The sequence below is a fragment of the Homo sapiens genome, chromosome 9 (assembly GCF_000001405.40).
Source record: "Homo sapiens chromosome 9, GRCh38.p14 Primary Assembly".
In the NCBI taxonomy this organism is placed as follows: domain Eukaryota; kingdom Metazoa; phylum Chordata; class Mammalia; order Primates; family Hominidae; genus Homo; species Homo sapiens.
This window is the reverse complement of record NC_000009.12, coordinates 77525148-77542237: the sequence shown is the minus strand read 5'-3', so window position 1 is coordinate 77542237 and position 17090 is coordinate 77525148. Positions and strand designations below refer to the sequence as shown.

At 41.2% G+C, this 17090-nt stretch overlaps 1 protein-coding gene and 1 long non-coding RNA gene across 2 annotated transcripts in view, besides 1 other annotated feature; one reads left to right on the top strand and one right to left on the bottom strand.

Moving 5' to 3' along the window:
• The window catches only part of GNA14 (G protein subunit alpha 14), a 225244-nt gene that overhangs the window by 106085 nt on the left and 102069 nt on the right, over nt 1-17090 (top strand). The window contains exon 2 of the mRNA NM_004297.4: nt 12985-13169. Coding sequence (NP_004288.1) covers nt 12985-13169 — 185 coding nt within the window. The remainder of the gene's footprint in view (nt 1-12984; nt 13170-17090) is intronic.
• Nucleotides 7472-7984: an enhancer, noted in NCBI's record as "OCT4-NANOG-H3K27ac-H3K4me1 hESC enhancer chr9:80149170-80149682 (GRCh37/hg19 assembly coordinates)". NCBI's record gives its function as "activates a minimal SCP1, AML or CMV promoter by ChIP-STARR-seq in naive H9 embryonic stem cells {active_cell/tissue: H9 hESC(naive)}" and the evidence as "EXISTENCE:reporter gene assay evidence [ECO:0000049][PMID:30033119]".
• The window catches only part of GNA14-AS1 (GNA14 antisense RNA 1), a 79114-nt gene continuing 77499 nt past the window's right edge, over nt 15476-17090 (bottom strand). Inside the window, exon 5 of the long non-coding RNA NR_121184.1 lies at nt 15476-15737. This is a non-coding gene — a long non-coding RNA (GNA14 antisense RNA 1). The remainder of the gene's footprint in view (nt 15738-17090) is intronic.

Genomic DNA, 17090 nt, shown 5'->3' with positions numbered 1-17090 from the left:
ATATATATATCTCGTCACAAAAAAGTAGATGTACATATCTTATATCTTCAGGAAAAAGTCCTCCCCTATGAAAACAAATTCAAAAACTTGGACTGTTACACCAGATATCAACGTAAAAACACAGGAAACAGGAAAAAGCAAGGTAATAGGACACCTCCAAAGGAACACAATAATTCTCCAGAAACAGATCCCAATCAAAGAGAAATTCACAAAATCTCAAAGATTTCAAAATACTGATTTTAAAGAAGCTCAGTGAGATACAAGAGAATTCTGAAAAACAGAGGAGGAGAAAAACAATTCAGGATATGAATGAGAAATTTCCCAAAAAGAGATACTTTTAAAAAGAATAAAACAGAGATTCTGGAATTAGAGAGTTTATTAAATGAAATATGAAATACGTTTGAAAGCTTTAACAGTAGACTTGCTCAAGTAGAAGAAAGAATCTCAACTTGAATACAGATCTTTTAATGTAATCAAATCAGACAAAAATAAAGAAAAAAAGAAAAAAGAAAGTGCAAAGCCTTTGTGACATTTGGGACAACATACATAAAGCAACCAAAATTTAAATTATCAGTGTCCTCAAGGATAGAGAGAGAATGAAAATGTTAGAAAACATATTTAATGAAATAATAGATGAAAACTTTCCATGTTTAGAAAAGACTTAGACATCCAGATACAGGGGGCTCAAAGATGCTCAAACAGATACAATGCAAAAAGGTCTTCTCCACAGCATATTATAGTCAAACTGTCTAAAGTTAATGACAATGAGAGGATTCTAACAACAGCACAAGAAAAGTTTATAGTCACCTATAAAGGAACCCCTATCTGACTAACAGCAGACTTCTCATTAGAAACCTTACAGGCCAGAAAAGAATGGGATGGCATGTGAAAAGTACTGAATGAAAAAAGGTTGCACCCAAGGATACTATATCCAGCAAAATTACTCTTCATAAATAAAGAAAAAATAAAGTATTTCTCAGACAAGCAAATGCTGAGAGAATTTATGACCACTAGACCGGCTGGCCCTACAAGAAAGGCACAAAGAAGTCCTAAACCTGGAAGTGAAGTGAAAGGACAACATTTACCACCATGAAAACACACGAGAATATAAAACCCATTGGTTAACCAAACACACAAATGAGGAAGAGAAAGGACTCAAGTGATACTACTACATAAAATTACCAAACCACAATGACAAACAAGAGAAAAAGAAATGAACAAAGGAACCAGAAAACAACTAACTTTATGACAAAAACAAAACTTCACATATCAATAATAACCTTGAATATAAACGGATTAAATCATCCACTTAAAAGATGTAGATTGGATGAATGAATAAAGGAACATGATCTAACTATATGCTGCCTACAAGAAACCCACTTTACTTGCAAAGATACACATAAACTCACAATAAAGGGATAGAAAAAGATATTACATGCAAGCAGAAACCAAAAGCAAGCAGGAGTAACTATACTTATGTCAGGTAAAACAGACTTCAAAAGACAAAAAATGTCAGTGTGTAATAATAAGAGGATCAATCCAGCAAGAGGAAATAACAACTTTAAATATATATGCTCCCAAAACTGGAGCACTCAGATTCATAAGCAAATATTACTGTATCTAAAGAGAGAGATAGACTCCAGTACAATAATAGTAGGGGACTTCAACACTCCACTCTCGTCGTTAGACAGACCATGAAGACAGAAAATCAACAAAGAAACATTGGATTCAATCTGGACTTTAGACCAAATTGACCAAACAGACATTTAGAAAACATTTTATCCAGCAACTATAGAATATACATTCTTCTTATCAGCACATGGAACATTCTTTATAATAGACCATGTTTTAGGCCACAAAACAAGCCTCAACACATTTTAAAAAATCAAAATTATACTGTTATTTTCTCAGACCACAATGGAATAAAACTAGGGATCAATACCAAGAGGAACTTTGGAAACTATAAAAAATACATGGAAATTAAACAACATACTACTGAATCATTATTTGGTCAATGAAGAAATTAAGATGGAAATTTAAAACATTTTTGAAACAAATGAAAATGGAAACACAATCTACCAAAACCTGTGGGATACAGAGAAGGGAGTGTTCAGAGGGAAGTTTATAGCAATAAATGTCTACATCAACAACAAATAGCCTAATGATGCATCCCAAGGAACTAAAATACAAGAACAAACCAAACCCAACATTAGTAAAAGGAAAGAAATAATAAAGATCAGAGCAAAACTAAATGAAGCAGAGACTAAAAAAAGTACAAAAGATCAATGAAATGAAAAGTTGGTTATTTGAAAAGATAAACAAAATTGATAAACCACTAGCTAGACTAACCAAGAAGAGAGAAAACCCAAATAAACATAATCAGAAATCAAAAAGGAGACAGAAGTACAAAAGATCATCAGAGATTATTATGAACAACTATACACTGATAAGCTGAAAACCTAGAGGAAATGGATAAATTCCTGTAAATATACAACCAACCAACCAAGCTTGAATCAGGAAGAAATAGAAAACCTAAACCAATCAATTACAACTACTGGGATTGAATCAGTAATAAAAATGTCTCCCAACAAAGAAAAAGCAGGACCAAATGGATTCACAGCCAAACTCTACCAAATGTATAATGAAGAACTAATACCAATCTTCCTGAAACTATTCCAAAAGATTGAAGAGGAGGGAACTCTCCCTAACTCATTCTACAAGGTCAGCATTACCCTGATACCAAAACCAGGCAAGGACACAACAGAAAAAGAAAACAACAGGCGAATATCCCTGATGAACATAGGTGCAAAAAGTCTTCGACTAAATACTAGCAAACCAAATCCAACAGCACATCATGAACATAATGCACCATGACCAACTAGAATTTATACCAGGGATACAAGAATGGTCCAACATATGCAAATCAATAAACGTGATATATCACATCAATAGAATGAAGAACAAAAACTATGTTATTACCTCCATAAATGGAGAAAGAGCATTTGACAAAATTCAACATACCTTCATGATAAAAACTCAACAAACTAGAAATAGAAGGAACATACATACCTTGAAATAATAAAGCTATGAAAACCTCACAGCTGACATCATACTGAACTGGGACAAGGTGAAGCTCTTTCTTCTAAGGTATGGAACAAGACAAGGATGCCCACTTTCACCACTCCTATTCAACATAGTACTGGAAGTCCTAGCCAGAGCAGTCAGGCAAAAGAGAGAAATCAAAGGCATCCAAATTGGAAAAGAGGAAGTCAAATTGTACCTCTTTGTGGGTGATATAAGCTTATTTTTTCCTGAGTGTGCCTGAAGGAGACACATTTTATTAGACATTTGAAATGTTATAATCTATAAACAAGATATGATTTCATACCTAGGAAAACCTAAAGACCACCAAAATAAACTCCTAGATTTGATAAATACATTCCCTAAAGTTATAGGACACAAAATCAACATACAAAAATTAGTACCATATCTATACACCAATTGTGAACCAGCTGAAAAAGAAATCAAGAAAGCAATGCTATTTACAATAGCTATAAAGAAATAAAATACCTAGGAATAAATTTAATCAGTGAGGTGAAAGATCTCTGCAAGGAAAACTACAAAATGCTACTGAAATAAATTGAAAAGGAAACAAATGGAATTAGACATCCATGCTCATGGATTGGAAGAATTAACATAATTAAAATGACCATATTTCCAAAAGTAATCCACAGGTTTAATGCAATCCTTATCAGAATACCAACATCATATTTCACGGCATGAGAAAAAAAAATCCCAAGTTTCATGTGGAAGCAAAAAAGAGCCTGAATAGCCAAAGCAAAGCAATCCTGAGCAAAAAGAACAGGTCAGAAGCGATGCCTCACACCTGTAATCCCAACATGTTTGGAGGCCAAGGCAGGAGGATCACTTGAGGTCAGGATTTCAAGACCACCCTGGACAACACAGTGAAATGCTGTCTCTATAAAAAAATTTTAAAAAATTAGCTGGGTGTGGTGGCACACACCTGTAGTCCCAGCTACTTGGGAGACTGAGACAGGAGGATCACTTGAGCCCAGGAATTTGTGGCTGCAGTAAGCTAAGATTGTACCTCTGCACTCTGGGCTGGGCAACAGAATGAAACCTTGTCTCTTTAAGGGAAAAAAAAAAAAAAGAAGCTTCTGTACAGCAAAGGAAATAGTCAACAGAGTGAATAAAACAACTTGTTGAATGGGAGAAAATATTTGCAAACTATTGATCAACAAGGGATTAATATCCAGAATATACAAGGAACTCAAATAACTCAACAACTTAAATAATGCCATTAAAAAGTGGGCTAAGAATATGAATATGAATGTTTTTAAAAGAAGGCATACAAATGGCCAACAGGTATGTGAAAAAATGTTCAACATCACTGATTGTCAGGAAATGCAAATCAAAACCATAGTGAGATACTACCATTCCCTAGTTAGAATAGCTACTACTAAAAGACAAAAAATGACATGCTGGCAAGGATGCAGAGAAAAGGGAACTCATACACTGTTGGTGGGAATGTAAACTAATATAACCACTATGGAAAACAGTATGGAGAATTCTCCAACAACTCAAAATAGATTACCATACAATCCAGCAATCTACTACTAGGTATTAATCCAAAGAAAAAAGAAATCTGTATATCACAGGAATACCTGCGCTTGCATGTTTATCACAGCCCTATTCACAATAGCAAAGATAAGGAATCAACCTAAGTGTCCATTGATGGACAGATGGATAAAGAAAGTGTGGTATATATACATAGTGGGATACTATTCAGCCATAGAAAAAGAACGAAATCATGTCATTTGCAGCAACATGGATGTAAATGGAGGTCATTATGTTAAGTGGGATAAGCCAGGCAAAACAAGGCAGGTACTGCATGTTCTCACTCATAGGTGGGAGATAAAACACTTGGTCTTGTGGAGCCGAGAATAGAATAATAAATACCAAAGGCCAGGAAGGGGGTGTGGTTGGGAGGGGAGGATGAAGGGAGGTTGATTAGTGGGTACAAGCATACAGTTAGATAGAAGAAATAAGCTCAATATTTGATAGCAAAGTAGAGTGACCATAATTAGCAACAGTGTATTGTATACTCAAAGTAGCTAGAAGAGAGGACTTGAAATGTTACTGACACAGAGACATGATAAATACTCAAGGTGATGGATACCCCAAATACCCTGGCTTGATTTTATGCATGTAACAGATATTCATAGGTACCCCATAAATATGTAAAATACTTTGTATCCATAAAAAAGATGCATGCAGATGTAAAAAAAAATGCACATATGGCAAATAGGAGAAATATATTATTTTTGATATCTCAAATTAGAAAAATAATTATTCAAAAATTCTCTGTGATTAAAACTTGTTAGCATGACCCATTGACTTTGTCTGATATAAGAGGTACTCTCACAAATCAAGTTAGGACTTGAAAATTCTTTATCAAAATGAGACCCAAAGATGATAGAAAGTAGCAGGAAATATTTGGAATTGCTGCTCTTCTTGGTTAGGCAATAAAGATGGTTTTGCAGATTAACGAATCAAGAGACTAATAAGGCAGGGCACGGTGTCTTACACCTGTAATCCAGCACTTTGGGAGGTCAAGGTGGGCAGATAGCTTGAGACCAGAAGTTCGAGACCAGCCTGGCCAACGTGGTGAAACCCCGTCTCTACTAAAAATACAAAAATTAGCCAGGTGTGGTGGCGCATGCTTGTAATCCCAGCTGCTTGGGAGGCTGAGGCAGAAGAATTGCTTGAACCTGGGAAGCGGAGGTTGCAGTAAACCAAGATCGTGTGACTGCACTCCAGCCTGCGCGACAGAGCGAGACTCTTGTCTCTCTCACACACACACAAAAAAAACCTAACAAAAATAATACAACATATTTTGAATTCTGCTCCGTTGTTCTGCTGTTGTTTTTTAATCTTAAACTGTGTATTGAGCCTCGTCACTTAGTTTCTTTCAACTCTCCTTTTTTATTTTGAAAGCCTTGTATTAATCTCTTTTGTTGAGACAGCAGCCATGAACCCTGTCTCCAATTGTTTCCAGTTCTCTGTTGCCTAGAATTATTGCTACTTCTCCTTTTATGGTGAAAAATAGCACCTCCTCTATTTGCGAGAACAGAAGCTGGGAGAGTGACCTGGCTGTGATGGTGATGTAGGGGCTGGACAGAAACTAGCAGGAGTAACTTGAAGAAGTGAATCTTATCGGCACTTTAAAAATGTTTTCCCCCGGAAATTGAAAAACAGAGCTCCAGAGGGGTATTTTATTCATGCAGAAATAAAATTGGAACTTGCTTGGAAAAAAAAAAAAAACAAAACAACTAAACTGAATGTAATGCAATAGCTTGAGCATTCCAGTCCCAGGCATATTCTATTAGCACAGGTTCCCCTTTGAAGGGCCCCAGAGAAGTGTTTCCCAACCAGCCTGTGGACCGGGTGCATCCAAACCCCTGGAATACTGGTGAAAAATGTATATTTTCAAATCTGTCAAAATTATTAGACCTGACAAGGGGCCCAAGAATCTGCATTTTTAATGAGCATCGTCTCCCTCATTGGATGCTGTCCTGCACTTAGGTAGGGAGTCATTTGGAATTTCTCTCAGCATTAGCTGATTCTCTCATAAATCAGTATCTTTTTTGTTTTTTGTTTTTGTTTTCCTAGACAGAGTCTCGCATGTCGCCCAGGCTGGAGTGCAATGGCGCGATCTCGGCTCAGCTCAGTGCAACCTCTGCCTCCCGGGTTCATGCCATTCTCCTGCCTCAGCCTCACGAGTAGCTGGGACTACAGGCGCCCGCCACCACACCCGGCTAATTTTTTGTATTTTTAGTAGAGACGGGGTTTCACCGTGTTAGCCAGGATGGTCTTGATCTCCTGACTTCGTGATCCTCCCGCCTCCGCCTCCGCCTCCCAAAGTGCTGGGATTACAGGCGTGAGCCACCGCACCCAGCCCATAAATCAGTATTTTAAACAAGCCCCAGGGTTGCAGTACACACAGGTGCAGAAACTCCTGCTGCATGGGTAGCTACTGCCCAAGGTCAGCCATGAGTTCTCTGGGGCCAAGCAGAGTGCCCCCAAGGGCCTGGCACCGTCCTCTGGGCAGGCCTCTTTGCTGCTGAGAAACGCTCCTTCCTAAAGATTACAAAAGGAATTTTCTTAAGTCCTTTATCCCCCCATTAAAAAGCCCTGAAATGGAACCTGAGCCTCCCAGTGTGCTGGCACCTGGCCTCAAGTGTCTTCATCAGAGCGCCTGCTCACTGGTGAGGTTGCTTTGCATACACAACAGACTCATCCACTCTGAGCGGGAAATCCACCTCCTTGTTGCTTTTCAAAACAGAAGCCATCCTGACTGTCTACAGCCAATAAACACCCATTCATGAATATTTTATTAGGCTCTTACTCTGCTCTTTTAGGCTCCAAAGATATCAGGAAACGAGAAAAAAAAAGATCCCTGTCCTTAGAGAGCCAACCTGCTGGTCACATCCGTTATGCGCATGTCTGTCTTCCGCCTGTTGGGCACATAGATGATTTAGACAGCATGAGCAACATCCAGAACTGTGTGCTCATTCTTGTTCTGACTTCTTTTGTTCTATTTACATTGTCTCATGCAAAACTGAGCTACAAACAGTGGCTTCTCACGATGGTTTCAGAACACATCACAATTGGGAGATGGTGCTTCCTATCTGGGAAGCTTTATCAGCCTGCTTTGGCTCTCTGGGAGGCAGTCTTTCTGAATTTTATGTAAACATTAGAACAATTGGCTTTCTGTTTTGATGTCCTTGGACTATCACTTGGGAAAGATTTATGTTGCTTTGGCCTCTGTTTCCTCCTGGCTCCTAAAGGCCTTTTGTACTTATATGAGTTTCAATCCTTGGTTATTTTGTATTGGGATGAGGTTCATGGGTAGAATTTCGGAAGACTCGAGAGAGAAGAGTGGAGGAATCTCCTTTAAAGATGAAAAGTAAACGGGTAAATTTCACATAAGAAATGATAATTCATGTGTATTATTTTCCAAAATGTGGTTCCCAGATCACTGGTGATAGACAGGATGTTTTTATTTGAAATATTGCTGAAGTCATTTGTTATATTTAGTTTGATCGTGGCAAATAATACTGGTCTTTCACTTGTGACAGGTTTTTTCATTACAAGTTTATTGAAATAATAAAGCTAAATATTAAATAATCACACAGGTGACATATGCGTATGAGAAAAATCACAAGGTTGGTACACAGATAATTGAGGTTTGGGAAATGCTAGTTGAGTGGAAGGCCAGGAGCAAGCGTCTTGTAGGAAAACTCCCAACCTGCAAGGTCAAAGGCTCACAGCTGTCACTCACAGTAAACAGGAAGCTTGTGGAGGTGAGCTTTATAGAAAAGAAATTATCTGTATGTGCCAACTAGCAAGGTCTCTATGTTCAAGTTAACCAGTAATTGAGTGTCCGCCCTGGAAAAGGAAATATCTCAAGTTTAGGGGGAGAGGGGAGGCAGAGGATCCAAGGCAAAGCTGTATAGCAGGAGATTTGGGAGATTATGGGAGTCTTAGACCAGGAGCAGTTTTATCCCCTGCTGAGAGGTCAGAGAGGATCCACGCAGAGAAAGGGACGTTAAGTCTTCTAGTGAATGTATTACTGGCCAGGGTGCCTTCCCCAGAAGCTTGCCGCTGATTTTATGACAAAGGACAGTTGCAGTTGGATGATGGTGAGCAACTATCTCAAATATATCAGGCGCCAGGCCAGCCATGGTGGCTCACGCCTGTAATCCTTGCATTTTGAGAGGCTGAGGCAGGAGGATGGCCTGAGCTCAGAAGTTTGAGACCAGCCTGGGCAACATGGCGAAACCCTGTCTCTACTAAAAATACAAAAATTAGCCAGGTGTGGTGGCACACGCCTCTAATCCCAGCTACTGGGGAGGCTGAGGCACGAGAATTGCTTGAACCCAGAGGCGGAGGTTACATGCAGTGAGCTGAGATCATGTCACTGCACTCCAGTCTGAGCAACAGAGCAAGACTCTGTCTCCAAAATATATATATATGGTGCTGAAAGTTTAAAAGTACTTATTACCATTGTTGGATTTTATTTTCAAATATGAAAACAGAAAAACTAAATGGAGAAGAGCCGTTTCCCCTAATTATATTTGAAACAGAGTCTAGAGACGGAATTGTAATTTTATTCTCTCTTTTACTCTGTGACTTTTTGGATTGGGTCCAGGATTGCAAGCCCTCTGGACTGTGACCCCTCCACCCCTAGCCTCATTACATCTAAGTGAATCCCTTTGGAACCAGACACCAAAATTCACCTTTCAGTTAAAAGACCTCCCACTCCTTGTAAACCAAAAAGCTGCTGCCAGGGTGAGGGTTCCTGTTGTCTTCACTGTGTGTAGCCGTTCAGGCTGCAGAGGACCCTCCACCAGCACATGCATTTTGTGGGGGTGCGGGTGAGAAATTCCTCACAAAGAGATAAAAAAACAAGGCAGAGCGGACGCATGCTACTGAAACAAACCACATATTCTAATAGGTAGTTAGGTAGGATGTAGGATCTAAGTCACCGAGTCCTCCAGTCACCAATAATTTTCACTCTAAAAATCATACCCTTTGGATTTTTCTTTTGCTTTTTGTGAATAAATGAACAGTCATATACTTGATGTCTGAGTGTTGAGTTTCTGTTTAGAACAAGTGAGGAAACTCAACTGAGATCCTTAGCTTGAGTTAAACTGGTCCCTGTGGTCCTGGTCACTGCTGTCATTATAAGACAGATTGATGCCATCATCTACCTTCCCCTGCATTCACCTGCTGCTGGGACCATCTTATTTATAGCAGATCTCTGCAGGCTGAAAGCTAAAGTTCCAGGGATTGAAATCTCTGTACCAGGTGAAGACTGCACGTAAGCTGATGGGAGCGATGGATGAGACCATGTACTTGGGGGAAATAAGCAGTGTAAAAACCAGCTCATAACTAGGGGTGCTATCCTGGGACGTGCATACACCAACATAAACCTGCATTTGGACCCAGGCCACGACACTTCCAAACTGAGTGACCTTGGACAACCAATTTAATCTTTCTGATTTTCCATTTCCCTTCTGGAAAAAAAAAATACACTAGCTGGGTGATGCTGAGGCTTAAATGAGAGTGGAGGATCTCCGCAAGGTGAGTCTCTTTGCTCTCTCAGCCCTCGGTGCTGTGTGTCTTTCAGTCTCTCTTCTTTGCCTTTACTCTGCCCTCTTTTGCTCCGCATTTGGTTTTTTAATTCTTTGAACAACCACAATTTAAAACTAAAGAATATTTTAAAATATGGGTATTTATTGAATACATCTATATCTTCTCTTGTATGAACCCTTAAAATCACTTCTAACGTTTTCTTTTTGAAATACTCCATGTCTGAAATAAAAAATGGGTGGCTTTTAAAAAATGTTTGTGTGTTTGGGGCTGGTGGTGGGGTTAGCTTTAACTATTAATAACATTGTAAGTGAATGGCTCTTATTAGCAAAAAGATTCTCTTAGTGTAGATTTTTGGGTGTGTCTTGAGTGATTTTTCTGGCTTCAGGACCAAAACCACAGCCTGTCTTGAGGTGATTACATAATCTCTGCATTCACATCAGCTTCACAATGTGTAAATGTAGCCATATTAATGTTCGCTTGGGGTAATCTAGCACTGGATTGTAGCTCAACTCTGCCGGGTGGAATAAGAGACCGACGTGGCAGTATCATAGTCACATGCAGGGACTCCAAGATGCTGCAGGAGTAGAGAGCTAATCTGACTTGGGACTTTGAATCAAGCTTGGACAGTATAAGGTCTTTCTACAGGTCCTCACTTCTCATATAGGGTTTGTGCAGCCAAGAGTCATTATGAAATGGTGGCTCCCAGGGGCACGTGGTCTCATCACAGTTTATCCTTGTTCAATTCATGTCTCGTTTTTCTGAGGTTGTCCATGATATAAGACCTATGGGGGAAAGCTGCTGACTTCTCATGTTTGTTCCATTCAATCCTTCATTGACCATTTCTTTGGGTGCTTTCTATAAAGCAGGCACATTGTTCGTGGTGCCCAAATGTGTGAATCTCGGGCCCTGCCTTTACTGGATGAAAGGTATGGTGAGAGATATATTTGCAAGCAAGCATTTAGGCGATGTGCTGCTTCTGGGTATCCAAGGCACTTTGAGGGCCTAAAGCAGGCAGGGCTAACTGTTGGTGGCATGCAGGGGAAGGAAATCCTTTCTAGGATATGTGATGTCTGTGGTGAACATTGAAGGCCAAGGCATTGACACCTGACTTCCAGCCCCAATTCTGCATCTGCACCCAACCTTGGCTTGTCCCCTGACTAATTACCAGTTTTCTGGTCTCTGAGATGGGAGGACAGTGTCTACCTATCCTGTCTCTGGAGGCTGAAACAAGGCCAGTGAGACTGTGTGTGAGGACACTCCCCCATCTGGGGGTTCTCCCATGTGCCCCAGCAGCCTGAGCCTGCAAGACAGTGGGTTGGCTGAGGTTTGAGGTTCAGTGTGTGACTGTGAACTTTGTGTTTGTCCCCTTTAGATCAGACCAAGACATTTTTCTCTAATAATTGAGTTGGTCATTGTAGTTCAATTCTGAGTAAATCCCAGTTCTTTCTCTTGCCGACTGGGAGCTTGCAGAGATTATTTAACCAATTAGAATCTTAGGTTTCTTATCTGTAAAATGAAGATGATAATTGTATTCGTCTGTTTTCACATTGCTATGAAGAAATCCCTGAGACTGGGTAATTTATAAAGAAAAGAGGTTGAATTGGCTCACGTTTCCACAAGCTGTACAGGAAGCATGATGCTGACATCTGCTCGGCTTCTGGGGAGGCCTCAGGAAACTTACAATCATGGTGGAAGGTAAAGGGGGAGCAGGAACTTCATGTGGCCAGAGCAGGAGCAAGAGAGAGTGAGGAGGGAGGGGTGCCATACACTTTTAAACAACCAGATCTTGCAAGAACTCTCATGAGAACAGCACCAAGGTGAGGGTGCTAAACCATTCATGAGAAACCACCCCCATGATCGAGTCATCTCCCACCAGGCCCCACCTCCAACACTGGGGATTACAATTCAATGTGAGATTTGGGTAGGGACACAGGTCTGACCTGTATCAGCAATAGCATATATTTCATCAAGTGTGTGTGGTTGTGAGGAGCCATGAATAGGACACATCATGTTCCAAACATGGTAAAGGGGTGCCATATGATAAATTATCTTTATCAAAGAAAATATTAGCAAATATTTTAATTGTTGTCTAAATTGCTATCACTTATACTGCAACTTTTACTACCTTTTCAAATAAACTCTCAATCTAATATGAATGTAGAGTTTTGATGTCATTTTTCACATATGTTGTATCTGGACCTCTAATGCACATTTAAGAACAATAGGGATGGCTTCATACTGTAACACGTTCCTTGGCCGCCATGTGCAAGTGTTGTGAGTTTTGAGGACCTCCTGAACTGCGTGTTGAGACATGAAAAGAAGCAAGCACATAGACATTTGGCACCTCTGGGAAATGGTGCTTTCTTGTGCAGGGATGAAGAATATTTGTGTATCTGAAAGGAAGGAGTTGACTGATTCATGAGCCTTTTTCTCTCCTCCAAGTGTTCCTATGGCTCAAACCCTCCCTGCACCCTGACGCAGCCCTATCACTGCCACTGCCATCTTCGCAGTGACAAAGCTTTCAAATGCTTAGGTCTTTCAGACATGGTTGCCTGTTTTTCAAGGACTTAGGGCAAGGATGTGGGGAAGCATTTCCCTGGACTGAGGATGGCACTTGCGTGAGGCTTGGGCTGGCACTGCTCTGTAACCGAAAACTGCATAACCATTTGGCAGTCCCTTCCAAATCCAACCCATCAGCCTATTAATTGGGATGTGGATTAATACTGCCAGGAGGTCCTCTGTTTCTTCGTGTGTTCCTTTGGAAGTCTGCTGACAGCGTTTTCCACTTGTTTTGTCTTATAGGAACTGGTGAAAGTGGGAAAAGCACCTTTATCAAGCAGATGAGAATTATCCATGGGTCTGGTTACAGCGACGAAGACAGAAAGGGGTTCACGAAGCTGGTTTACCAAAACATATTCACCGCCATGCAAGCCATGATCAGAGCGATGGACACGCTAAGGATACAGTATGTGTGTGAACAGAATAAGGTAACGTGCTTAGGGAGTGCTTGCCCTATTTGTGAATGTATGCCTGCCCACTCTGGTTAGCACAAAGATTCCCTCAGTGCTTTGGTCAGATGCCAGAAGAAGCTCTTGTTCCCTGGGGTGTGGGGATCACTGAGAGGAGTTTAAGGAATTTAGTTAGCCCCCGGTCTTCTTTCTGCAGGACTTCTCTCATGGTGGTAGCGTGAGGCTACCCAGTGTGCAGGGATTCCAAAGTTTGGGCTGTTATTTAGGTTCCTTATTTCCGGCGCTGAGAAAAGGAAGTCATACATTTTCTCTTTCCGCTAAGAGACCCAGTTAATTTCTTCATTGGAGCAATGGGGACATTGGGTTTACAGTGGCCAGCGTTTCAAGAATTCCCAGTCTCAGGAAATGTTTTCACTAATTGCTGCAGACTACTCAGAGAATTCAGTGGGTTTTGTTTGTTTGTTCTGGGAGTTCACCCTTCTTGGGAACTAAGTGATGGCTCGTGAGCACAATGCTAATGGCCCAGCCAGCAATGTGCTCCCATAAAGTGCTGGTGTCAAGCTGCCATTTGCTTTCCCCTCACCACCAGTTACTTAAAATACAAATCTGCTGAAAACCAGAGGAAAATAATGAGGCGGGAAAGAGAGAGGAAGAGGAAGTAAAATTTTATATGGTATATTGGAATGCAAATCCAGAGGAGAATAATACTATGTCTGAGTTCATTAAGCAACTAGATTAGAAATAAGAGTTTATTTAAAATAATTGATACCAAATTACAACATGACATGATGATAAAGAGAAAAATTCTGTGTCAGATGGGTCTCTCGTGGATCTGTGAAGAAGGAATTTAGCTAGTAAAATGCCAGAATTGCATGGGCTTTAGTATGGACCCCTAAGGACAACTTTATTATGAACTTGTGGCACCTATACTCATATATATATGATTAAAAAAAGTTTTAAAGCAATCAGTTTAAATTTCTATGGGATTACATAGGAAAACACAGTAGGCACCAAATTTCAGACTTGCCTTTACCTCATCTCTACAATCTATGTCTTTACTATCATTTCCTTGCAGTCCTGAAGAAATGAAGGAACACATCTTGCCTACAATTTCACCCTGTAACAGAGTCATGCTAAAACTTGCGTGGGGTGGGCTGGGCACGGTGGCTTATGCCTGTAATCCCAGCACTTTGGGAGGCCAAGGCAGGGGGATCACCTGAGGTCAGGAGTTCGAGACCAGCCTGGCCAACATAGTGAAACCCCGTCTCTACTAAAATTGCAAAACATTAGCTGGGTGTGGTGGCAGGCACCTGTAATACCACCTACTAGGGAAGCTGAGGCAGGAGAATCACTTGAACCTGGGAGGTGGAGGTTGCAGTAAGCCAAGATTGTACCATTGCACTCCAGCCTGGGCAACAAGAGCGAAACTCCGTCTCAAAAAACAAAACAAAACAAAAAAATTGTGTGGGGTGAATTAGCCTACAGCAAGGGTATCCAATCTTTTGGCTTTCCTGGGCCACATTGGAAGAATTGTTTTGAGCCACACATTAAACACACTAACGCTAACAATAGCTGATGAGCTTAAAAAAAATTGCAAAAAATCTCATTCTGTTTTAAGAAAGCTTATGAATTTGCATTGGGCTGCATTTAAAACTGTCCTGGGCTGCACTGTGGCCCACGGGCCATGGGTTGGACAAGCTTGGCCTATGGTATATCTGGTGTGAAGTAAGGTGAGAGGCACACACTGAGCCACTAGGAGATTCTAGAAGTGACTGAGATGATTCCTTTATACATTGCTGTATCTTTTTGAAAAGGTACAGTTCTTTTTTTACTTACCCTTTCTAATGTACTCTAAAAATTAGGCTTTCTGTGGAGATTTAAGATGACTTCAGTGAAGAGGCAGGAATGTTCTTGGGGGGTGATTTCAGTTCATCTGTTTTTCCCCTGTTGTAAAATACATTTTGTTTACCAGTCATGGTGAGGTGACTGGGCAAAGCTTGGAATTCAAGGATGGGTTTGTAAACAGACCCACTGAGGAGAAAAGGCTCCTGTGTAAGCCACTTCTGCTTACGTTGGCAGCAGCGTTTGTAAAACCTAATCAGCTTAGTTATCAAAGCTTCTAGGTTTTTGCTTTTGTTTTGTTTTTCCTCATGAGCTTCTAGAGTACTCAGTTTATATTTTAAACAAAGTGGTTTTATGTGGTTTGACATCTACCACTGTCTCCTTTTCTCTTGACCTTAATTATTTTGTCTAGGCCATCTCCGTTTGCCCCCTAATCTGTGTTAGTTTCCTAGGGCTGTTATAACAAAGTACTTAAGATTGGATGGCCTAAGACAGAATTTATTGTTTTTACAGTTTGTCATGCTAAAGGGCCAAAACCAAGGTTGATTGGTTCTAACTGGAGGCTCTGAGAGAATCTGTTGTCGGCTTCTTCCCCAGCTTCTGGTGGTGGCTGGAAATCCTTGCCGTCCGTTGGCTTGTAGATGCTTGCCTCCAGCCTCTGCCTCTGCCTTCGCCTGGCTTCTTCCCTGTGTCTGCGTGTCCACAGCACTGTCCTCTCTGGTTCTGTGTCCAAATTTCCCTTTTCTTACAAGGACACCAGTCGCTGGATTAGGGTCGACCCTAATCCGGTATGACCTTATCTTGCTTGCATCTACAGAGACTCTCTTTCCAAATAAGGTTTCACTCTGAAGTTTTGGGTCAGCATGAGCTTTGGGGGAACACAATTCAACCCCTCTGGCTCCCCAAGATTCATGTCCATCCCATGTACAACATACATCTACTCCATCCCGACATCCCTAAAAGTCAACCCATTCCAGCATCAACTCTAAGACCCAATTCTAATCCAAATATCAACTCAAAAAGTCCCAAATCAGGCCAGGCACAGTGGGTTGTGCCTGTAACCCAGTACTTTGGGAGGCCGAGGCAGGCAGCCATCTCTTGAGCCCAGGGTTTTGAGATCAGCCTGGGTAACATGGTGAAACCCCATCTCCAAAAAAAAAAAAAAAAATACAAAAATTAGCCGGGTGTGATGGTGCACACTTGTAATCCCAGCTACTTGGGAGGCTGAGGTGGGAGGATCCATTGAGTCTGTGAGGTGGAGGTTGCAGTGAGCTCAGATGGTGCCTCTGCACTCCAGCCAGGGGACAAAGTGAAACTCCGTTTTTTTTTTTTTTTAAAAAAAGTCCCAAATCTCATTGTCTAAATTAGGTATGGGTGAGATTCTGGGTACAAACCATCCTGGGGCACGGCCGGGTGCGGTGGCTCACGCCTGTAATCCCAGTACTTTGGGAGGCCGAGGCAGGCATATTACAAGGTCAGGAGATCGAGATCATCCTGGCTAACGCGGTGAAACCCCGTCTCTACTAAAAATAAAAAAAATTAGCCGGGCGTGTTGGCGGGTACCTGTAGTCCCAGCTACTCGGGAGGCTGAGGTAGGAGAATGGCGTGAACCTGGGAGGCAGAGCTTGCAGTGAGCGGAGATCATGCCACTGCACTCCAGCCTGGGCAACAGAGCGAGACTCCATCTCAAAAAAAAAAAAAAAAGAACAAACCATCCCTGGGCAGGATTCTTCTCCATCCATGACTGTGAAACTAGGATACAAGTCCATTGTACCTCCCGTCTCCTCCTCTCTTGCCATGTCTGGCTCAAGTATCTCAATTCCTGTTGCATAAACTTTCTCAAACTGACACCTGGGATGAACTGAATGCTAAAATGGCTTAAGGAGAGGCAGAAGGTCGAATGGAAAGAACCCTGGATTGGCTCTAAAAAATCTGGGCTTTGCTCATGGTTCTACTGTGGGTCTAGGGCTGGAGTCTGCAAACTTTTCTGTAAAGGGCCAGGGAGTCAATATTTGTGGGCTATATGGTCTCTGTTGGAACTACCCAGTTCTGCTGTTGTAGTGCAGAAAGCAGACATAGGCAATATCTAATAAGTAA